Source organism: Homo sapiens, chromosome 5 (assembly GCF_000001405.40).
Source record: "Homo sapiens chromosome 5, GRCh38.p14 Primary Assembly".
Taxonomy (NCBI): domain Eukaryota; kingdom Metazoa; phylum Chordata; class Mammalia; order Primates; family Hominidae; genus Homo; species Homo sapiens.
Genome location: NC_000005.10, coordinates 175,862,962 through 175,885,414, shown reverse-complemented (window position 1 = coordinate 175,885,414; position 22,453 = coordinate 175,862,962). Strand labels below are relative to the sequence as shown.

Here is a 22,453-nt window from a genome sequence, read left to right as displayed (position 1 = left end):
CCAGACCCTATGCTGGGTGTTGCAGAGGGATCAGAGCACAGGCCAGCCCTGCCCTCATAAAGCTCCCAAGTTAGTGAGGGATACAGGTGCAGCGACATCTCTTTCAACAGAAATTGCAAAGCTCCATTCACTGAATGCTTGGCGTGTGGTGCTCAAAGCATGTGCAGGACCCCATTTACTCTTCACAACAAGCGTGGAGATCGGAGCAATGCTTATCATCCCATTTCACTTGCGAGCAAACACTCAGAGGGGTTAAGTGGCTTACTCAAGATCACTCTGCTGGGTGACAGAGCCGTAAGCACATCCAGCGCTGTCTGAACACTCAGACATGATGCTCTGTGGCTGTGAGCACAACAGCCTCTGCTCTGGTCAGGGAGACGGGCTGGATCAGAGTGGGCTGCGCAGAGGAAGTGATGTTTGAGCTGGAGCTTGAGGGAGCTCCAAGCTCCTTAGAGCACCAAGGAGAGTAAGGGCACCATTCATCTCAGGCACCGGGGACAGAATATGCAAACACCAAGAAGATGGTATAGATGGGGACTGGGGCACTTGGAGCACAGAGGTGGGTGTGGGTCTGATCAGTAGGTTGAGGCCACATCACACAGGGCCATTTGGACAATCTGGATGTTATCCTATAGGCAGGCGCCTTCCTGTAGGCCTTTAGAGGGCTCTGGGCAGGGAGTGACATGGTGAAGTCTGCATTTTGGATGCGCCTTGGAGGCAGGCGCAGGGTGGCAGAAGAGGGTGCATGGAAGGAGAGGGGTGGGGGCTGGGAGACCATTGCGTGGCCATGGGAAGGGCCCAGCCAAGCTGAGAGGATTGGGACCTAACTAAGGCAGGGTATTAGGGTGAGGGTAAGGGTGGAGGGGGTTCCGGAACAGTTCTGACTCCTCACCAAGGCCTGGGAAGTGCCTGTGTCTGGGAGGAATGCTGAGTGGTGTCCTTTCTTTGGGACCCCAGGCTTCTGCACGTGGCCCGTGGGGAGTAGGTCTCCCTCAGTGTCTGGGGAATGAATGAGGACAGGTTGCTGCCCACCGTGCGACTTGACAGCATTCTCAGGAAGCGGCACCCAGAGGGGCTCGGGGGAAGGGGTGTCAGAGATGGTGTGTGTGTGCGGGGGGTGGGGGGGTGGTCCATGGGGAACACTCAGCCCCTGGGGCTGAAGAATTGATTCTGGAAGGCAGGGAAGCAGAGTGATCCTGGAACCCCAAGCCCAGTCCCAACTCTGGCTGCGGTTGATTTCTGGAGTCATCTCCATGGTGTCCTGGCCAGAAGCCAGGGTAAAATTGAAGATTTTCTGGGGCCTCGAGCTTTGTGGGTTGCCTCCTCCCTGGTGAGTTGGTGCCCCTGTTTGTCTCTGGTGGTGCCGATGGACAGAAGAGCACAGACAGAGAGCTGCTGTACAAGGTCTTTTTCTTTGTTGTCATGGTTGATTTTGTACATTTCAGCATTTGCATCATACAAAGGGGGGAGCAACAGCCATGGCTTTTGGTCAGGTTCAGGGGGGCTGAGGGGGTGCTCCTCCCCTCCCCCCAGGCACTGACACATTGAAAGGAAGCAGAGCAACAATGACACAGCACGGATGTGGGAAAGGGGATCCCCCACGGGGGCAGGATGGTCCATCTCACCGGGGTCTCACCAGGACTCCCCGCTCCCACCCAGGGCCAGCACGAGCACCTCCCGTTTTCTCCCCAGTGCAGAGCGTGGGGTGACAGGAGTGGGACTGGAGCAGGGGACATTTGGTGGGAGGCATGTCCTCAGGCCTGGGAGACCAGGCTGGCCCCAGCCTCCCTGTGCGGTCAGGGGCCTGTGGAACCCTAGAGGATGGAGCAGGTGGACAGCAGGGGTGGGCAACCCTGCCAGCTGGGTACTAGGGCTATTGGGGCTGGAGGGTCTACCCCACTGTACTCTAGCCACAAGGCTGTGGGGTGGCTGCTTTGCCCACCAGCTGTCCCCCTGATAGGGGATCTGGGCTGCAATACTTCTGTATCCTCCCTGTTCTCTCTCTCTCTCTTACACACACCTGGGATGGTGTCTCGACTTCCTGATTCCATCTGGAGGAGTACCCTGCACAGCTTTGCAGTTAAGGACACCTTCTGGGAGCTTCTGGATTTGGAGGGGAGGACGTCCATGTTTGGAGATCCTGACCTGTCACTGGTGCCCAGCCCAGGGCGATCCACAGCCGCCTTTTTGCTTCTCTCTGGCAGCTCCTCCCAGGCATGGGATCCTGGGCCCTTCCCTGAGAGCACACACGCTCACCTCACCTGGTGCACGCTCCCTTGAACCTCATTCTTTTTTCACCCATCTACAAATGATTGCTCCTTCCTATTTTCTCATCTGGGGGTTCTCTCCCTTGTGTGTTGTGTGCGTGCTGAATTCTGGGGCCACTCCTCCCCTAAGTGTGTTGCATGCACACTGCCCCATTTGTATGTGCACACTCATTGCCCTCCCATCCAGTGGGTCACACACACCTCACCTCCCAGGCGATCCTGTGAGGATTCTGCCCCTGCCAGAGCAACTCTCACGTATTCTGTGCACTACGTGCTCCACACAGACAGGCTCTCTGGGCCACACATTAGCTGCTCTCCACAGCCAGGTCTGCATCAGTAATGATAGTCATTGTGTTCCCCTGGGCCTAAGAGTGATCACTTGGCAGTGGTTGGAGCCAGGTGTGTGCCAGGCAGAAATTTTCTCCTATATCCACCCCCAGGAAGACCTGAAGTCCTGCTGTCCTGGAGCAGAATAGAGGGGTCTGGGACATGGACCCAGACTAAACCAGCCATCCTGGAGGGCAGGCATCAGGGTGGGGCTGAAAGCCCCGATCCCACTCTGGGAATACAGAGGGACTGCACTGTGGAGAACACCAGGGCAGCCCTCTGAAGGTCTGGGGTCCCTCCGGCCCACCTGGGGTATCTGGTTCGACTGGGTTCTCTTGCTCATCTGAAGCACCCTGCGCCTTGGTCTCTGCTACCTATCTGGTACTCTCTGTGTCCTTGCATCACTGTCGAGGTTTGAAGGTCCCTGTCAAGTGGCAGAGGGGGACCTCTCTGAACACTTGTGTCCAAGTGGGGCTCGCACACTGGGACTGGGGAGGCCTGGGGCCCCTGGACTGGGCCCTGCCTGTCTCTGGCCCAGGACCCCAGGGTTTTTGAGAATGACCATCCTGCCCAGGATAACAGACACAAAGAGACAAGCAGACAACAGGGGTGCGAGGCGGCTCCCCATCACAGACACAGGCACAGACACAGACACAGGCCCCCTGGGGGGCTGGACACAGGGGCACAAGGTGGGGGCGGGGTGCGGGGAGGAAGGTAGGTCAAGGGAGCTGGAGCTGTCGAGGCCCTGCTCCCCAAAGAAGGGACAGACCAGGGGACTTTTCTGGTTCCCTAAACATATGGATTGTTTTGTCTCGTGTTTAAAGTATTGCAGTCTAACTGATATGGCTTTACCTATTGGAAACGGACAGAGAAGACACATGTCTGTCTCTGAAATAAAAGCAGAACCCACTAAAATGGAAAACCTGCAGAATGCAAACTGGGGCCAATGGGAACAAGGGCTTCAGGGGCAGGCAAGTCGCCCCCTCCCTGGCCCCTGCTTTTGGGATAGGCCCTGGCGGGGGCCCAGCATGGCTTCCTGGGGCGCTGCCTGGGTCCATTGCAGTGGGATTCTGAGGACCTCAGGCAGGAGCCCCCCAAGGGTGGGAGGACTCTAGGCCAAGGACAAGGTCTCCCGTTGGAGGTGGCCAACTGTGACCAGTGGTCTCAGGGCTGGGAAGGGACATCTTACCCACGTTCTTTCTCCCCACGCACACATCCATGCACACAACTGTCTTTTCAGACCCCCAAACATGCACACAGCAGCCTTCAAATGTCTCTGAATTCTCTCAAACACACGCTTCTACAACCCATCACATACCTAACACATACCCATCACTCCCAATACACACACTGTTTTGAAAACACATTCTTACACAAGCTAACATATACAGCCTCTAAACACGAGATGGATAGCACACACATATGACACAATTTCAACCCAAATACACCACCTCAATCAAGCACACATACACAAGGCTAACATACACAATCTGTAACACATAGATATGATGACTGCAACACACACAATCTCAAGACACACACACGCTCCAGCCCTACACATATGCATATGATCTCTGAACACACAATCCCTGTTGCAGTCTCTGCCACGCATTATCATGCATGCATGGATACAGTTTCCTCCCTCATGTGACCCCTCTTCCCTCACCATCCCCACACAACTGACTGAGCAGAAAGCTTTGATAATTTGAGTGGGGGACAAATGCCAGTCCCAGACGTCCCAGAGGAGAGTTTGTCCTTGGCCAATGAGATGAATGGATGGACGCCTTCTGTCAAGTGGGAATTGGCTTCTCACCAAAGGCTTGGGGCTTTGGCCAGGAAGCGTCCTCCTGGGGACCGTGGGGCCCTGGAAGCGCATGGACAGGACGGGGTGGGGAGAGGGGTGGATAGGAATGGGGGCAGCTTGGCCACACCAATGGAGGTGTTCCCCATGGCATAGACCATCGCTACCCGATGGCTCCAAGTGTTTTCTGGGGGCCTGGCAGCCCCTTGACTGAGCAAGCTGGGCCCAGCCTGGCAGTGGGGGCCCAGGACCTAAGTGGGGTGGGGGTGAGGAACAAGGGGCGTCCCTACCTGGGGTTCCTCCACAAATGAGCTAAAGTCCACAAAGGATCCATTTGAAGGGACCAGCTTGGCAGGGGCCATGTCTCTCCAGGTGGGGGCTGGGGAAGGGGGTGCCCCTGGGCTGGGTGTCACCAAGGAGATGGAAGAAGAAGAGCCCCAGCCTCCCACCCAGATCCCAGCCTGGCCAGAGCCAGGGCCTCTCAGCCTGGGCCTTCCCGGGACAGGCTTCCCCTGACTCCCTTCCTCAGAGCCAGGCCACTCAGTGCCCCTGCCCTGACCTGGGGGCCCACTGAGGGTTAGAGGCCAAAGGTCAGCATGCTGGGCAGGGCTGGAATGTGTCATTACTTTGGCTGGCTGGGGACAGTGGTCCTCCTGGCAGTGGGGAGCAGGGAGGAATGTATGGGGGTCACCACACTAGCACGACCTTAGGCTTCCTGAGGGGCCCCCCTGACCCCTGCTGGGGAAAGACTGTCCTCCCTTTTTCAAGCTACTTGGGAGTGGGGTGCAGGTGGATACCCTGGGATGAAGGGAGGTGTGAGGGAGAGCTGAGGGGGAGAAGCCCCTGGCCAGGGAAGAGGGGCAGAGGCCAACTGAGGTTTTCCCCTTCAGAATTGAGACTTAACCTAATAAAAAGAAAAGAAAGAACCAAAAAGAAGTAGTAACAGGTGGAGTAGGCTGGGGCAGGAGGCCTGGTTACTTCTTGAACATGTCCTGCAGCGGCCCGGGCAGGTATTTGAGCACCGTGTCCAGGATGCTCTCCTCTTCCTCCTCCTCCTCGTCCCCGCAGCCCGCAGGGATGGCCTTCTTGGGCCGGGTCAGGCTCCCCTCGCAGGGCTGCTCCAGGGCTGCTTTCTCCTCTGCTTCCTTCTCCTCCTTCTTCTTCAGCCCATACTGGGGAGGGGGAGGGCAGAGACGCGCATGAAGCGGGGTGGGCAAGGAGACAGCAGGAGTCTCATGATCATGCAGCACTGGCTGAGGTGGCCAGGAGTGCCTCCCAAGCCTCAGTCCTGTCATTAGTAAAGTGGGGATAAGGGTGTCTTCCCTGTAGGATGGTGCCTGGTCCTCAGTGGGAGAGACCATACGTGGGGTTTCCTTTAAAATTAACACCTGCCCATCAGAACTTCCTGCTGTGTTGAAACCCCCAAAGATCTGAACACATGGCGTTTGCCCATATATTTTGAGCCAAATTTTGGTGACGAATCTGACTTGAACCAATGGAAGACTACTTCTAGCCTTTATTTATTGCACGCACTAACAGACATGCACTGGACTGTCTGGAGTAGGGTGGCAGCCCCAGACCCGCTGGGAGTGACAGCTGACAGCACAAAGTGCTTAGGACACTGTGGTATTTTTCGAACATTCCCAAATTCAGAACTGCACTCATTTTTGGTCCCAAAGATCTGCAGTACGAAATGGTGGACCGTAGGGTCCACCCTCTTGGAGTACCTACTACGCGCATTCTCTTATTTAATCCCCAAAAGGATCCCTTGAGGGAGGTGACCTTGTGATACCCGTTTTGCTGATGAGAAGAGTGAGGCTCAGAACTAGGGCGAAGGTGAGAGCTGGGATCCAGGGGAGCCCCAGCAGGGGCTTTAGCTGGACCGGTTTTACCCGCTTGTGGCCCTCCCCAGGACGGGCGGGCGGGCGGAGCTGACCTTATCTCGGATCTGCTGCCGGACCTTCTCCCGCTCCGCCTCCATGCGCGCGTGCTTGGCCTTACGCTCCTCCTCCTGCTGCCGCAGCGCCTCCTGCCGCTCCTCCTCCTTTTTCTGCGCGTCGGGGTCCTTCTCCTCCTCTCCCCCCAGCATCTTCCCCATGTCCTTTGTGGCCCCTACGAGGAAGGGGTGGGAAGGAGAGGGCGGGGTCAGCTAGGGGTCAGGGCTGGGGAGAGAGGGGCCGGGTGGGCCGAGGCCACCTCCCACAAGGGTGGGACCGGCTGAGGACACGCGGAGGGGCGCTGGACCTCACCTCCAAGGGCCTGCTTCATGACGAAGTCCATGCCGCCGGCTCTGGTTAGCGTGCCTTAGCCCACGGCAGAATTTGCATGCAGCGCTCCTGGCTGGCCTGGCTTGGGAAGATGTGACAACCTGCAGAAGAGAATTGGGAGTCAGATGGGAGAGGCCTCTGCACAGGCAGGGCGGGGGAGCTAGGCAGACAGCAGCCTCACCCTGGTTCAGACACCAGGCACCCATCGCTCTGAGGTCAAGACCCAATGCCCTGCTGGAGGAGAAAGGAGATGGAAGAGAGCGATTTACTGGGCAGACACGTAGGTGCTGCCAAATAGCTTTTTGAAAGCGGTTTGGTCCCTATTTTAAAGCCTTCATCTTGACCCTATTGTTCAGATTTGATTGAAGCCAGGAGCATTGGAAAGAGCCTGGAACTTGGAGTCAGGCAGATCTGGTTTCCAACGCCACCGTCATTTCCTTATTTGCCATGGGACCTTCAGCAAGGCCCTAACCTGCTCGAGTCCCCAGTTTCCTCCTCTCTAAGAGAGAAATGGCAATGCCACCTTTCCCCGGCTCCGGCGGAGATTGGAGGGGGCCCAGCCTGGGCCACTGGATCAGCCCATCAAAAGACCAGCCGGTGTTACTGCCCCAGCCAATCGGAGGCAGCTGAGCAAATGAGAACAGCCAGCTTGGATAAACAGATCCTGACTTTTGAAATTAGACAAATGGAAAATACGTTATTTTTATTGTAATGTACGTGTAATTTTTATGTTTTATAGCTTAATATCGATTTTTATTTTGAATTTCACGTGGGAGTGTTGGAGACATTATAATCTTCTGGGGGCTTAGGGCTTTTAAACTACCTAGCACGGGCCTTGCAGGCACTCGGCAGACATTAGCACCCTACTCCTCTTCCTAAATCACCGGCTTTCAGTTTTTATTATATTTTTTATTATGTTTTTGCCTCAGAAGGGTTCTCCAAATAAAATCTTAATGGGATTCTCAATATGCAAAATATGTAAAAGTGGAACTCTTCCAGTGGAGGTGGTGGGGGAGGAAGAGCCTTCCCCCTTGGCCTCCTTACCATCTTCCCCCTACATCCCTGAGAAGCTGAACCCTAGTGCTCTAACTTGAGATTTTCTTTGTATTTTAACCATTCAGTTCCACTGTTCTTTAACAGACACAGATCTCTTTTCAAGTGTAGAGGGGACATCCGTGAGCTATCCAAAGTGTGAAGTAGCTTCATGGTAAGCTGAGGCCAGGCCTGCTCCCCAAGGCCTTTTGTCCCACACAGCCTTGCAAGGAAGAAAAAGGGTTCCTGGGAAAGGGTGGCAGATGTTGCAACCTTGTTGGGTTCAAGGCTGGATATTGCAGCCTGGCTGAGTTCAGGGTCACTGGTTGTTCTTTGATAGATTTTCTTCATTTCTCTCAAGATGAGAAGTCATATCGGTAGACTGAGATTATTTCATGATATGGGGCCCAAGAGCTTATCTACGTGATCAGACCATCTCATCTGATAGGTTGTTTTGGGAAGAGAAAGTCATGATGTGTAGGAAAAAAAAAAAAAAAAAGCAAAACACAAAACAGCCCAGGGGCTTTGGCATCAGACACACCTGGTTCAAAATCCAGGCAGCTATACTTACTGGCTGGGGGTCCCTGGGCAAGCTTCAGTTTGCTCCCTGCAAAATGGGGGAGTATTAAGGTTGCCCTTGAATGGACGTTTGAAGGAGAATGAATGATACCGGTCAAGTGCCTGGGGTGTTGCAGGAACTCATAAAATGTCAGCCGTTGCCGACTACATATTTGTGGAACAAGCCAAAAAGGAACAGGCTTTCCATGCTTTCTCAGAAATGCAAGAGAACCCACCCTCCTAACCCCGAATTCTGAGTTTGCAGGTTGCTCAGCTCAGTCAAGATGTTTTCGTTCGATTTAATACATTGTGAAAAAACTTCATTTCTAAGAACAGGAAATGAACAATTTAATAATCAAGTGATTTCAGAAACTCTTGGGTTCCTACTCTGTGTTTACATAGAGCTCAAGGAATTACCAGGTGGCAGTGGGAGATGCAGGGCTCTAATTTGAGATGTTCCAAATTGGTAGGCAGGGCACCCGGGCTTTAGTTGCAGCCTCATCCCTAACTTGCTGGGTGATTCTGACACGTCTCTCTCCTGGATCAGATGATCTTCCAGGCCCTTTCTCCCATGCCTCTGTTGAAGCAGTCTGCAGCATTTGAACTGCTGACAACCCCACTGTACCCTCAAACCTCCTTCTCTCTTGGTTCTGTGACTCAGTTCTTTCCTATCCCTGCTTCCCCTTACTGTTTCCTCTCCTCTCCTCTTTTCTTCTCTTCCTTTGCCTTTTCTGACTCCTCTTCTTCCTCCTGTCTCTTCCCCATAACTCTGACCTCAGCCCCTGCCTCTTTTTACTTTCTAATCTTTCCCTGGGAGAACTCATCCATTCTAGGGGTTTTAATGACCACTGACACTGATGACACCTAGACCTCTATATTCACTCATCCAGCAAGTATTAATTGAGCACCTACTATATGCCAGTCAATGTGTTAGGCACTGGGGATTTATAGGAAACAGGACAGACAAAGCCTTGCCTTCATGCAGATTACATTCTGAGGTATGTATGTGTGTATGTGAGTGTGGGGGTATATGCACACATGCGTAGGAAAATAAGCAATAAATAAGTAAAAAAACACATTTACCTTCTCCTGGATACCCTTTCCTGGATGTCTGTGGGCACCCCTCAAACTTAACATGCCATTTCTGTATCACCAAACTATCACCTTCTCCGGCCACCTCTGCTTGCCAGCATGCATTCATCAGACATTGTTTACCACTGCCACCCCTCCACCAGTTTGCAAAGTACCTCTACTCACCACTGAGTCTTCTCAATGCTTACATCCCTGTGGCTCTAAGTAGCTCTTCTTCAGCCTGCTGGGATTCTTTATCTGAAATTCCCGAGTCTGCCCAAAAATCCTGCTGCCTGATCCCAGCATGGACCTCTGAGCTGTTAAGCAGTCTCCTGTTCACTCTGTCTACACTCTCCCAACCAATTCTCCTTTTCTTAAGGCCCAAAATGCTACTGCCTCTTCCTTCTCAGCAGGTGACTTTCCCTCCACTTCACGGGCGAAAGTATAAGGGGTCTGAGCTCTGAGGTTAGGCATGCCTGACTCAGATCTTGAATCTGCCACTTTTTAAGCTGTGCAATAGTGAGTAATTGACCTAACCTCATTGATACTTGATCTTCTCTATAAAATGAGAATTATAATGGCACTTTGAAATTTTAGAAATACTCTATGGGATGTGTTTGCACATGCTGGGTGCTCAGTAAATGGTTGTAATAATCAAAACAATTAATGTCAGTGAGTGGGAGCTCCTGTAACCTCCCCTCCTTCTAGCTCCTGAGGAAGAAGCCCTCTCCTGGCTGAAGCCAATTCATCTACCTGTGCCCTGGATTCCCTCTCTTTGTACCTCACCACTCCCTCTTCCTCACATCTTCCATCCCTCTCCATATGTTGCTTTTATTCCCTCCCTTCTCTAACTCCTTCCCTAAATTCTGCGTTTCCCTTAATCCCACCCCTCTCACTTTGTGATGAAGTGATCTCCACATGGTATCTCCACATCTTCACCTCCCAGTCAAGCCCTACCTCTCTGTGAGACCAGAGCTCTGCTGCCTCTGCAGGAGCCCTGAAACTGCGGTAATCAGTCGCCAGAGGCTTTCCCATTGCCAGATTCAAGAGGGTCTTCACGGCCGTCATCCTCCTCCATCCCTCTGCTGAATCACATGCTGCTGCTGACTCCCTCCCCCCACCTTTTCCAGCTTTCTGGAATCTCCTCCTGAATTCCATGACACAGCACTCTTGTGGTCTTCATCCTACTTCTCAGATAGGTCTTCTCTCTCTTCTTTGCTGACTCCTTTCCTTTCCTTTAAAGTGAAGATGGTCTCCAAACAAACTCTCCCCTCCTGCCTCTCCTGCCCCTCTGTCTCCCTTGGGAATCTCGTCCACCCCTATTGGTTTAGTGCACTTCTTTAGCCACAGATACCTCCCTCTCTCTGCCTCCCCTCCCCTACACCTGCACATTTAACTCTCTGCTGGATGTTGTCACATGGATAATCTCAAATTCTGTCTGTCCAAAGATCAGTCTCATCCTGGCTTTCCCCACACACCCATCTTTTTCTCTAGTATGCCTTGTCCCAATCACCTCAACTGAAAACTCTAGAGACAGCAAATTCCTCATTATTCATTCATTCATTCACTCAGTTGCTCATACTACAAATATTCCTTGAGTACCTACTTTCTGCCAGACACTGTTCTGGGTGCTGGGGCTGTGGCAGGGAACAAGGGAGTCCCAGCAGTGGTCTCACAGCATTCAGTTGGGCTGGGGAGGTAGAAGCTGGATAACAGATCATGCAAGGAATTGGTGAGTTAAGATTGGGATGGGGGTGCCGAGGGAGAATTCCAGGGAGAAGTCCAGACGCTGTAGCTTTGCAATGCTGCCTACATCCCCACCCTCCACTCTGTGACTGCTGCTAATGCCTTGGTTCAGGACCTAGAGATTCTGGATTTATCCATAACCTCTAACTGTCTCTCCCTCAGCTCTCATCCAGCCTCCACGTGGCCATCCAATTAATCTTCCTAAAGGGCAGATTTTCTCATGCATACACACCCTGCAATGGCTCCCCATGGCCTTGTTAAACTGATACGAGTCCTTGTGCTGACCTTCAAGGCCTGCACAGTCTAGCACCCGTCTTCCTTGCTGCTCGTGTGCCACCTCTTGCACAGGGCTCTGCTTAGCACGTATTATTTCCCAACAGATAATCTTTCTGAGAATGCCTGGGCATTTGTGCATGCTATTCCCACAGCCTTGGAACCTCTTACCCTCATCTCTGCCAGTTCAAATCCTGGCTCCATCACTTACTAAGTAACCTTGAGCAAATGACTCAATGTTTTCTCATCTATGAAATGGAGACAACAACACCTATTCCCAAGGCTTGTAGTGAGCATTGAATGAGGTGATGCAAATAAAGTGCTCAGCCCAGTGTTGGCACAAAGTAGGTACATATTATCTAACATCATCGCAGTCATCATTATCATCATCAGCAGCATTGATTTCTGAAGATCTCTCTCAAACAGCACTCCCTCCATGCAATTTCACGGATCTCCTTGGCAAGATGTGAGGGCATCTTCCCCTTTGGAGACCTGTGGCACTTTCTGGGGGCAGTATTGCCTGCCTCCAGTACATGCTCTCTTTGTCTGTTTGTCTTTCTTTGTCTTGCCCTTCCTGGTTACTCTGAGCTCCTCTCAGGACAGGACCAGTATCTTGTTTCATTTCTCCTGTCCCCAGAATTGGCTACATGTCCTGGTACATGGTAGATCCTGAGGACGTGTGTGCCGGGTTGAATTTAACGTGTCAACGAGTGCATGAGGGTGTGTGCGTTGAAAGTATGACCCCGTGTGTGCAACTCTGGACTTAGACATCGTGTGAGTGCGTGCGTGTGTGCAGGGTGTGTGTGTGTGTATGTTTTGCCATATGCCTGCGGGAGTGCTGAGGTCCAGCAGGTTGCCGGCAGTTGAGGATTTGGGCCAGGCCGCCAGGAGGCGCTCCTTAGCGATTCTGCGGGAAGCCTTGGTCTATCCCTGCGCGGGAAGGGGGGTGAGGGTGGGGGTGGGTGGGAGTGGGGGTGGGTGGGGGATGCTGCGCTGGGGGAGGGGAGGCCGGGGGCGGCGAGGGATGCCGTCGTAGCACCAGGTTTCCGTACCTTCAGTGCGCCGGGGACCCAGGGCGCGCCTTCAGCTTCCTTCCCCTCTCCGACTCCCTCCGAGCCCGTCCCAGCCCAAGCACCGACTCAGGCTCGACCATCTGAGCCCCTAGAGGTTTTCGGGACTGGGCCCCGCCATCTGACAGGCTGACTCGGGTAACCTGCAGTGGTTGTCCTTATGGCCGTTTTTCTGTTTTTATGATTCAAGTCTGGGCTATATTCACCGCAACTCAATTCAACACTCATTTGCTTCTGGCAGGGGACTACGCCAAAGGCAGTGGCAGAGACAGGGGATGTCACTCCACCCCCTCCCCCCGCCCCGTCCCCACCCCGTGGCCCGGGATGGGAGACGCATGGGGGAGGGGAGGGGCAGCGGAGGATGGGAGGAGGTAGGGAGCCGACTCCGGCTGAAAAGCGGAAGTGGCCGGGGGTTCCCGTTTCCCGGCCAGAAGAGAGGACAGGAACCCCGGCGCCCCTCTCCCGGACCCCCGCGGAGACCCACACCCCCAGCAGCTCTGTCCTGGATCTCCCGGTGGGCCACGGAGAGCGCCCCTTCCCCCAACACACATAGCTCCAACCCCAAGACCCGGCCCGGTTTCAAACTTTGCTGGGGAAGGGGGCAGATTGAGGCCGACGAGAACGAGAGCACAGAAGGGGTCGTTCCCGAAGACTCCAGGCGGCGGGCGTGCGCTGTCCAAGCGGCGGCTCCTCCCGGAAAGGGACAAATAGTCCCCTTGGTCCCCCATCCCCTGTCAATGTCTACGTTCTCCTCCCCTCCACCTGCGGTCTGTCCGCCCCCCTGCCGCCGCCCTCTGACTCACTCCGGGAGTGCGCACTGTACCCCTGGGGGCGACTCCCTCCTCCGGGGCGAAGCGTGCTCCGGCGGGCTTCGGGTTAAGCACAGCCAGAAGTAGCTTAGATCGACGTCCCCCACTCCCGCGAGCTCAAAGTTGTTCTCTGGGTTCAGACTTGAGTCTCCGCCGCAGCCGGGGCGGTCCTGGCTCCGGGACCCCGGCCGTTCGGGCTCTGCCCGGAGTCTCCGGCTAGGGCCCACGCTTCCTCTTAGTTCGCAGCTAGCTGCCTGCTCGCGGCCCCTCGCAAGGAGCTGTCCTTTCAGCACCACGGAGAGCGCACCCGGGAGTGTCCCCTTTACCGCCTCTCAGTCCCCATCCGGTGCCCAGGCAGCCTTGGGGAGCTGTCCCCCCGAAAGCCGTGCTCCCCAGCTTCCCGAGCTGCCCCAAGGCCTCGAGGCGAGAGCCGGGACCCTGTTGCCCACAGCCCAGCTCCGCCCTCCCGGCCCTCGGCCAGCACCGACCTGGCGGTCCCTGCAACCGTCTGAGCCACTGCAGGGCTCCGGCCCGACTCCACGAGGTGGTTCCTTCTGCTATTCCAGCTCCCGCCGCCGCGTGCAATTCCGCCAGGCGAGCTGGAGCCGCGGCTTCTGCCGCGGGCGGCTGCCGAAGGCGCCCTCCAATCACGCCCCTCAGCCGGGCCCTGACGTTCTACCGCTCCCCTTCCAGATGGGAAATTCAAATCTCTCTCTCTCTCTCTCTCTCTCTCTCTCTCTCTCTCTCTCTCTCTCTCTCTGTCTCTCTCTCTCTCTCTCTCTCCTCTCTCTCTTTCTCTCCCTCCCTCCCCCCTCGTCCCCTCCTTCTCTCCCTCTCTCCCTCCCTCCCGTCTCCTTCTCCCTCCATTCCTCCCCCTCTTTTCTCGCTCCCCTCCCCTCTCTCCTCCACCTTACACTGTTCTCCTCCCCCTCGCAGACGCCCCTGCCGCCTCCCTGCAACCAGACATCCTGGCCACAGCTCCAGGCCCACAAGCTTGCTGCTCCTGAGGAGTGGTGGGGGCAAGGGGTGGAGGAAGGGTTCTTTAAAGCAAAGCTCAAAGTTCACCTCCTTGGGAAAGCCCTCCTTGGTTTCTCCAGGCAGAGTGGTTGCACTTCTTGCGGCTCCTGCCACTCCCAGACAAGCCCTTGCCTCAGCGACCCCCGTTCCACCTGTTGGTTTGCCTCTTGCCTGTGAGCAGCTCCAGGACTGGACCTTGGCCAGGTCATCTTTGCAGCCCCCCAGCACAGTGTCCAGCCACAGGAGCACTCAGGAAACACTGATGGAGCGTGTGGGCAAGACCCTCGCAGTGGGTCAGGAACCTCCACTGCGCACCCAGAAAGAGAAGACTGATGCAAAACTGCAGTGGACCTTAGGCAAGCCACTCGCCAATCCCTTTGAGATCTGATATCCTGTGAAGAATAAGGACTCCTCTGGCAAAATTTATTCTAGAAGGCCATTTCTTTTCCTCCTATGCCCAAGAAAGTAAAAGGACTTCCAAGAGGCAGGACAACATCTGCTCCCACCCCCAGCCTTTCCTCTTCCCCTTGCACTCATTTTTGTTTTGTTTTGTTTTGTTTTATTACTCTCACCTAATGAGCCTTTTTATTCTGCCTGCCATCTTTCGGCTCCCAATTACTCCAGCCCGATGTGTAGGAAAATGGCTTCGGAGAGGAGGGGCCTTGCACAAGGCCTGTGAAAGATCTGCAGGAGTTTCACATCCATCAAGGTATGTCAGAGTGGAGATGGCTTCTCCTTCTAAGGGGATGGCTTCCTTCCAAGGAAGGGGCAACAAGAGCTGCAGAAATGTGATTTTGTTCCAGTGAGGGAGAACTTATCCCTTCACACACGATCACAGCAGAGGCCTTAAAGCAGGAGACCCCCCCACCAGTCAGAGGCCATTGGTGAACCCATCCTCGTCACCTGGAGAATCACCTTCTGAAGTCTATGTCTGTTCTCCCCTTACAGGCTTGTGTAAGGAAGGCCCCTCCTTTAGGGCTGAGTTCCATGTTTAGCACTGTGTTGGGCCATCAGCATAGAATGCTTATTCTTTATTTTTCTTCCCTTTCCTAGGGCAGATACTAAGAGGGGGATGGCAGTGGCAGGGAGGCTCTTTGATTAGAGTGACTTAGACTTTCCACTAATGCCTGAGGGGAATTCTGGGCAGGGAGATCTGACATCATGTCATTTCAAGTGCACAGTCCTCCCCGTCCCCTCTTTCTTCATGTGCTTCAAGAATATTCTCAGTAAATGGGACCTGGCTGGCAGCACTCTGGTTACAATTGGAGTTTTTCCACAACTGGTATTGCTTTTGACATGGACATCAACTGAGCTGGGCTACAAATCTAGTTGAGGCTTAAGGAAAATACTGAGCTCAGTTATGGACACCACACTTTAAGATGGACTTTGACAAACGTGAGTATGTCAAGCTCGAGAAGGGGCTAGTTTGGTGGTGGGCACCTGGAAATCAGGTCAAATGAGGGCAGGTTGAAGGATTTGAGGATCTTTCACCTGGAAGAAAGAACACGGAGGGGGCATTAACCCTTTAAGGGCTGGCAATTCCTGCTTAATTTATAATTCCCCCGCTTAGTAACGTGCCTGGCAAAGTAGATGCTAAGGAAGTGCTTGAATGGATGAATAACTGTTGTAGCGGAAGAGTAGTACTATTGCTTTTTCTATTGCTGGCGATAGAATTAGGGCAATGGGGGAAAGGTAAAGGAAGCAGGCAGAAGCTCTGAGAGGAAGAACTGGCTCTCCATAGGAGCTGTCCAGCCATAGGATAGACTGCCCTGTGTGGGGTTATGGGTTCTCTATCTCTGGAAGATGGCAGGTGTGTGGGAGGCTGGTCCAGCTGATGGCTAAAGCCCCCTTTGAACCCAAGCATCTTTGAGTCTATAAAAAACTGCCTAAGCTGACATGAACTGTGTCTCACTGCAGAAAATCTCACTGGCGAATAGGAAGGCAGCTCAGCCAAGTTTTGGTGACTTCATTTTGTTGCACAATAAGGGGTAAATCATGACACTTTAGCCATTAAAGGTGACGAAGAGATGAGTACCTGCTCCCTATTCAGTGTTACCAGCCTTGACATGCTTCCCGAAGGCCCTACTATTATTGAAAAAGTTGCTGAATATCATAAGTCTTTCCTAATGATTAAAATACTACTACTAATAGTGAATATTTGAGCTTTCATTATGTCTCAGGTGTTAACTTTGGTGCTTTATATAATTTACATTTTCTCATTTAATTTACACAAGCACTTATGTTCAAGATGGGAAAGTTGAGGCCCAGGGAGATAAAATGAATCTTTGGCAGAGCCAGGGTTCCAGACCAGGCTTGCCTGACACTGAGTTCTGTGGTCCTTCCAGCACGTGGGGCTGCTTCTCTCCTGACACATCCCACAGCCTATGGAAATGTAACTTTTGCTCTGCAGATTTTTTTTTACATTGGCATTTATAGTCTTCCCTGTTCTCCAGTTTCTCACTAAAAGAAAAAAAAAAAAACCTGCCACGAATTCACACCCAGATCGGGGTCCTCATGTCATGTGGGTTGCCAGCATTTCCTTCATCTCCTGCATCTCTAATCCAGCGGGAGTGCAAACAGGCCCAGCCGCAGGTTCTTGCCGAGCCTGCTCTGTAGACAGCTTCTAAGAGTCACCTGGTAAAATATAGATGTGGCTCTGCTTCAGGTGACTTATCCTGACTGGAGCTGAATTTCCACTTTTATTTATGAGCCCTGGGGGCAGGAGGAGGGGTTCAGATTTGAACAGATTTGTAAGATGTTATGTATATGCCTTGAATGTTCAGTAGGAAGCCAATCAAGAGAGCTAATGTTAGTACTTTGTGTGAGGATCGAGGAACAATGTGTGAGGAATGACAACTGTCACAGACCATAAACGTGGTGATCAGTGAGAGAGCTTGCGTAAGGTGCCTGTCCAAAGGTCAGCCCATTTCTTCCCTGCAATTGCCTCAGCCCAGAGGGCATCCTGGATGCCATGTGGGAGGTGAGGGGGTGTCTAGGAAATGCCAGGCACCAGCTCTGATCTGGAGCTCGCTGGCTGGTCCTGAGCTTGCTGGGAGTTACGTTGGTGGGTGCAGGGAGACATTCAAATGCTCCAGACACTGGCTTCACATCCTGTCATTCTAGCCTAAGCCTGGAGGGGCAGAGTTGGTCTTGGTTTGGGAGGTTGGCCGTGTGCCCGAGGAAACAGAACTGCGGGGGTGGTACACAGAGAAGGGCTCTAGGCCACCTTGCTCATCTGATGAGTGCCTTCCCTCTTGTCACTGACAATGGCCGGGTGCCATCACTGTGAGGGTCCCAGTGTACCTCCTTTAACATGGAATGGCATGGTGTGAGGGCAAACCCATAAGTGTGCAATGGTGTATTTGAGTGCCCAGCAGTGTGGGACTGTGCAGGTGGGAGAGTGGCAGCACTCATGTGCAGTGACACAGGCGCTGTGTGTCATCATCAGCGTGTGGCAGGGCAGGCGTGCGTCTCTGACTCTCGGTGTGTGGTGGTGTTTCCCTCCTGATGGGATGTGACTCCTATGTCAGCGTGTTGTTGGTGTGTGATGGTATAGACCTACGTGGGGTGTTATTAGAGTAGAATAAGTCAATGGCATTGTCTGGGCATTTGGCTGTAAGGCAAGAGTACCACATAGAGCTGTGCAGGTTGTGTACTGCACAACCACAGAGGGCACCATTTACATAGACTGTGCCAGACACAAAGGCTCTGGGGACGTGTCACCATTTCTGTATATTGGTGTATGTCTGAGTGTTGCTGTCAGCCAGTAATGCCCCAGGTGATAGGGTGTTACCATCAGTATGAAATGGTGTAGTCCTGTGTAACCATCAGTGGTAAGGCTGCAGATATGAGTGTGCCACAATGGGCTGGAACATGTGTCACTGCTATTGTGTAGGGCAGTAAGGGTGTGTGTGTGCAGCCAGGAGTGTGTCATTACCACTGGGCAGGTATGCAGGCAAAATGTGTCACAGATAGTGACTGACCCCTCCTTGTCTATTCTGCCCCCACTAGAGGCACCCTGATTAATCCAACTTGCTGGCTTCTATCCCACCTGGGAAGCTGCAAAAGCCCCAGCACCTTTCATTCTTATTTTATTTTTTTAGATACAGGGTCTTGCTCTGTTGCCCAGGCTGGAGTGCAGTGGTACAATCATAGCTCACTGCAGCCCTGAAGTCCTGAGCTCAAGTGATCCACCTCAGCCTCTTGAGTAGCTGGGACTACAGGGGTGCACCACCAAGCCTGCTGATTTTTATTTTTTTTATTTTCTGTGGAGACAAGTTCTCACTATGTTGCCCAGGCTAGTCTTGAACTCCTGGCCTCAAGCAATCCTGTCTTAGCCTCCCAAAGCTCTGGGATTGCAGGCAGGAGCCATGATACCTGGGTTCATTCTTCACTTTTCTCAGAAAGAGGGTACCAGGCTCAACATATGAACTCTGACTCATTGGTCGTGCATGGAGTCCATGTGGAAATTCCCTGGGGGAGCCCCTCCCTATCCCAAAGCCCTGCCCCTAACTCAGAGCCTCTCTCCCAGCCCAGCATCTGCCCAGCAGCTCCTCAGAGGTCCTCTGCCAGCCTTCATCCCGTCCCACCCTCCCAGATTCAGGCACTCATTAGCATGTCAAAGCAGTCGTCTCCCAGCCCACACTGTAGCCCTGTATATCCCCACTTGGTTAGCTCCCCTCATCCTGTGCTTTCCTGAAACCTTGCATTTTCATGTCTGCAAATCAGTCTGCAGTCTCCTTGCCCCCATCCTATCAAAGGAAGAATATTTTGGTAGTAAATCTTTCCTCTCTTGCCTCTGGTTCTTTTTCCAACTCTCATTTATGACTTCTGTCTCCTCTCCTCCAACCTCAGTCCTTTCAACTCTTTGAGATGTGTTTGGATATACCCGTCCATTAAGAACTCTTCTCTGATGGCCTCTCCCTAGAGCTAGCCAATGACCCCAGCCAAGCATCCTCATTTCTGAGTCCCAGCTCTGGACTTGCCCAGGCACAATCAGTGTAGCATCAAAGTTTGCTTTCCATGCTCTCGAGAGGGTCCCCCTCCTGAGTGTCTGTCCACCCTCAGGACGCTTGGTCCCTTTTCCTCTCCACCAGTGAAACCCATGCATGCTCAGAAAGACAATTTTTACACATTAGAATCCTCCTTAGCCACAGGGAAATAGAATAACAGAGTTGCAGGATACTAGAATCATGCAAAAGACCATTTTAGAATCACATTTAGAATCACAGAATTATAGGCTCCCTACAACACTATATGTCAAAGAGTAGCCCACTCCTACTCAGAACCACTGGAGTGGGGGACTTGTTAAAAAATTGCAGATTCTTGTGCTTCATCCCACATGGCACAAACCAAAATCTCTGACACGGAAGCCCAGGAATTTGCATCTTTTGCCCAGCTCCGCAGGTGTTTCTGACACATCGACTGGTTGAAAAACCCTTGCCCTGGGTCAATAGAGTCAGAGAATCATAAGATCCTGGACCCTCATCTTACAGAAAAACTGGATCGTGGAGCCATAGAATATTTTAGGATTCATGGAAGCTTCAGATCAACCAATTACACACATTCACTCACAACTTTAGAATCTTAAATTCTATGAATCTCAGTGTCAAGAATTGTGAAGTTGGAAGTGACCCTGGAGTGTGATTTTGTTCCCGTTCTAGGAGGAATTTTTAGTTTCCAGCCTTCCTGTTCCTTTTGGAATGGAAAGCTTTTTCCCTTGTCCCTTGAACGACTGCCTCTATGGTGTCGCCTACATTTGTGAAGATAGATGTTCTTTCCATCTTGGTGCAGAGGCAGTCGGCAGAACCCCTGCATTTATGGAGTAAGTGAGCTGGAAATGACTTCTACTTTCCATTTAGAACCAGCACACTCTGGCCCACAAAACAGATCTTGCTTGTTGATAAAAATGAATTCAAAAGGACATTATTGCTGTCTTGTTAAAGCAAGGATATTGGTTGAACATGGACAACAGAGGTTAATAAGCTTATGGGGCCTCTGGTCGAGGAAATGAAAGAAAGAGAAAGAGTGCCAAGGGGCAGAGGAATGCTACTGGAGATTAATAGACGAGTGTGTGTGTGTGTGTGCGCGCGCGCACATGCGTGCATGTGAGTATGTGGTTGGGGGAGGGTTGGATGAAGGGAGGCAATGAGGCATGCATTAAAGAAATCAGTGATGAAGAGAGAAATTTCTGGTCATCTAACCCAGTGTCCTCAGTTTACGGATGGGGAAACAGAGGGTGAGAAAGGGGAAAGGACTTTCTCAAGGTCACATAACAAGTTAATGAAACTTCTCACTCTAGGTAAGTATTCTTTTTTAGGTATAACTCAGCGCCCAGCTCCACACGTCCTAAACACCTCCAGTGTGCCAAGCATTGCTTTAGGGACATTACGGATGTCAACCCTTTAAGCCATATGACAACCCTATGTAGCAAGCATTTTTCACTCACTCATTCTCTTATCTAACATATATGGAGAGCCTACAGCACCCCAGGAGCTCTCCTAGGCAAAGGTGTACAAGAAGTTCCAGAGTTTCTCTTCCCCCACTTCGTTCCACAGTGAGAGATGCAAATGCTTCACTAAGAGCTAACACACGGACCAGTTCACACTCTCCAGATCCTTTCAGATCCGAGACTCTGTGATTTGAAGCACTCAGAAGCAAGTGGGAGACAGATGCCCGCAAACAGTCAATGACCATACAACATGTTAAGTGCTGTCTTAGTGAAGAGGGAGCTCTGAGGAAGAGAATCAAACACACACAGCTTGCAAGCCAGATGGAATTGGAGGCTCAAAGCAGGGAAGGGGCAGGGGTGGCTGGTACCCCCTGCTCCTGATGCATGAAAGCTCTGGGGCCATCCAAGTCATCTCAGAGGTTTCATGGTGGTGGCAGCCATGGGCACTGGCCACGTAAAGACAGGGAGTTAAATCTCACTAATTCTCTGCCCCTTCCCATGGTGTGTGGCTTTTCCCTGAGACTGTGTCCCATTGGTGAAATGGGGGAGTGATCTCTACCTTCCAGGGTGGTTGTGTGGCTCTAATCAAACAATGCTTAGGAAATAGCAGCATAGCCTCAGCAAGTATTAATTCCCTCTTTCTCTCCAACACCCAGGCAAGGCATAGCATTCTCTTCTGGAGTTCAGGGCAGACTAACCACTAGACAAAACCTCCTTTTATGATCCTCTTGGTCAAAGAACTCTGCCTCATAATCTTCCTGCATGTATTTAAGTTGGAATGAGAAAGAAAAGAATTTAAAGCTTAGAGGAAAATGGGGGAGATGGTTCTTCTTCTTTTTACCCCTTTTCTTGGCTTCCTCCCTGCCTCTCCTGCACATGAAGGCCTAGGATATTTGTGTCCTCCAAAATGGGAACTGTGTGAGGAAAGTCCAGAGGGGACTTAGACTTCAGGCCCAAGAACAGGAGGAATTTTCCACCCACAAATTTAAAAATGGCTGCTCTGGGCCACTCAACCTCCAGTTGTTTCTTCCTGGCAAAAAAACAAAATAAAACAAAACTCCCTTTTATTTGGCAAACAAGAAAAGGATTGGGGAAGTCTTGGGAAGATGAAGCCAGGGAAAAGCTTAAAGGGCAGAAGAGGAAGGGATTTTCATCGACTGAGCCTCTCATGGGGGAAGGTGATTCATAATCTTTATCTGATTTAATCCCCAGGCCCTCGCCTCCGTTACCTTAAATATCATTATCTCCACTTTGTATTCAGAGAGGGATATTCAGACTCAGAGAGGTTAAGCCCTTGTTCAGGATAACACAGCCAAGAAGCAGCAGCAACAGCATCTGAACTTGGTGTCTCTCTCCAGGTGGCCACATTTCCTGAGGGAGATTGGGGGTTTCTAGAAGCTGACCCTGGGTCTGCAGCTTCAAGGCAACTAGTCCCAGAGTTTGGGTGATCTTGCTAGGGCACCCTATATGGCGACCTCACCATGGGCTGATCCTTGATGGGGCTGGGTGTTCTAGGTCTCAAGGTGACCAAAAGTGACGGAGCTGTAGGTCAGGGCTCAGAGCTGTGCCCTAAGGACTTACATAAGAAATTCCCTCTGGGGTAGGCCTTTGTGCACTTCCAGTCAGCTTGGCTCAGCCCTGTTCTCACCACCAGCCTGGGACCACTTCTCCTGCCTCTGCTCTTACCTTCTTCTTTACTTTCTAACTGGCTTCCAGACCTGTAGGAGAATCAGAGCTTTCTAAAACACAGAGTTGACTGCATCA

At 52.3% G+C, this 22,453-nt stretch overlaps 1 protein-coding gene across 8 annotated transcripts in view, besides 4 other annotated features; it reads right to left on the bottom strand.

The window, feature by feature from the left end:
* Positions 1-1,393: 1,393 nt before the first annotated feature.
* CPLX2 (complexin 2) overlaps positions 1,394-22,453 on the bottom strand; it is an 87,489-nt gene continuing 66,429 nt past the window's right edge. For 4 of the 8 annotated variants that reach the window (XM_047416650.1, NM_006650.4, XM_005265799.2 and 1 more), the window contains 3 exons: positions 6,645-6,763; positions 6,332-6,507; positions 1,394-5,567 (listed from right to left, as the gene is read on the bottom strand). In XM_047416650.1, the coding sequence (XP_047272606.1) occupies positions 5,370-5,567; positions 6,332-6,507; positions 6,645-6,675 (405 nt within the window). In that variant the 5' untranslated portion in view covers positions 6,676-6,763 and the 3' untranslated portion in view covers positions 1,394-5,369. Of the gene's footprint in view, positions 5,568-6,331; positions 6,508-6,644; positions 6,764-12,394; positions 12,649-13,215; positions 13,838-22,270; positions 22,408-22,453 lie in introns of those variants that run through there. The other 4 variants (XM_047416651.1, XM_011534419.2, NM_001008220.2 and 1 more) reach the window with 4 other exon arrangements.
* Positions 5,040-5,770: an enhancer, noted in NCBI's record as "H3K4me1 hESC enhancer chr5:175306648-175307378 (GRCh37/hg19 assembly coordinates)". NCBI's record gives its function as "activates a minimal SCP1, AML or CMV promoter by ChIP-STARR-seq in naive H9 embryonic stem cells {active_cell/tissue: H9 hESC(naive)}" and the evidence as "EXISTENCE:reporter gene assay evidence [ECO:0000049][PMID:30033119]".
* Positions 5,771-6,501: an enhancer, noted in NCBI's record as "H3K4me1 hESC enhancer chr5:175305917-175306647 (GRCh37/hg19 assembly coordinates)". NCBI's record gives its function as "activates a minimal SCP1, AML or CMV promoter by ChIP-STARR-seq in naive H9 embryonic stem cells {active_cell/tissue: H9 hESC(naive)}" and the evidence as "EXISTENCE:reporter gene assay evidence [ECO:0000049][PMID:30033119]".
* Positions 11,974-12,696: an enhancer, noted in NCBI's record as "H3K4me1 hESC enhancer chr5:175299722-175300444 (GRCh37/hg19 assembly coordinates)". NCBI's record gives its function as "activates a minimal SCP1, AML or CMV promoter by ChIP-STARR-seq in naive H9 embryonic stem cells {active_cell/tissue: H9 hESC(naive)}" and the evidence as "EXISTENCE:reporter gene assay evidence [ECO:0000049][PMID:30033119]".
* Positions 12,697-13,420: an enhancer, noted in NCBI's record as "H3K4me1 hESC enhancer chr5:175298998-175299721 (GRCh37/hg19 assembly coordinates)". NCBI's record gives its function as "activates a minimal SCP1, AML or CMV promoter by ChIP-STARR-seq in naive H9 embryonic stem cells {active_cell/tissue: H9 hESC(naive)}" and the evidence as "EXISTENCE:reporter gene assay evidence [ECO:0000049][PMID:30033119]".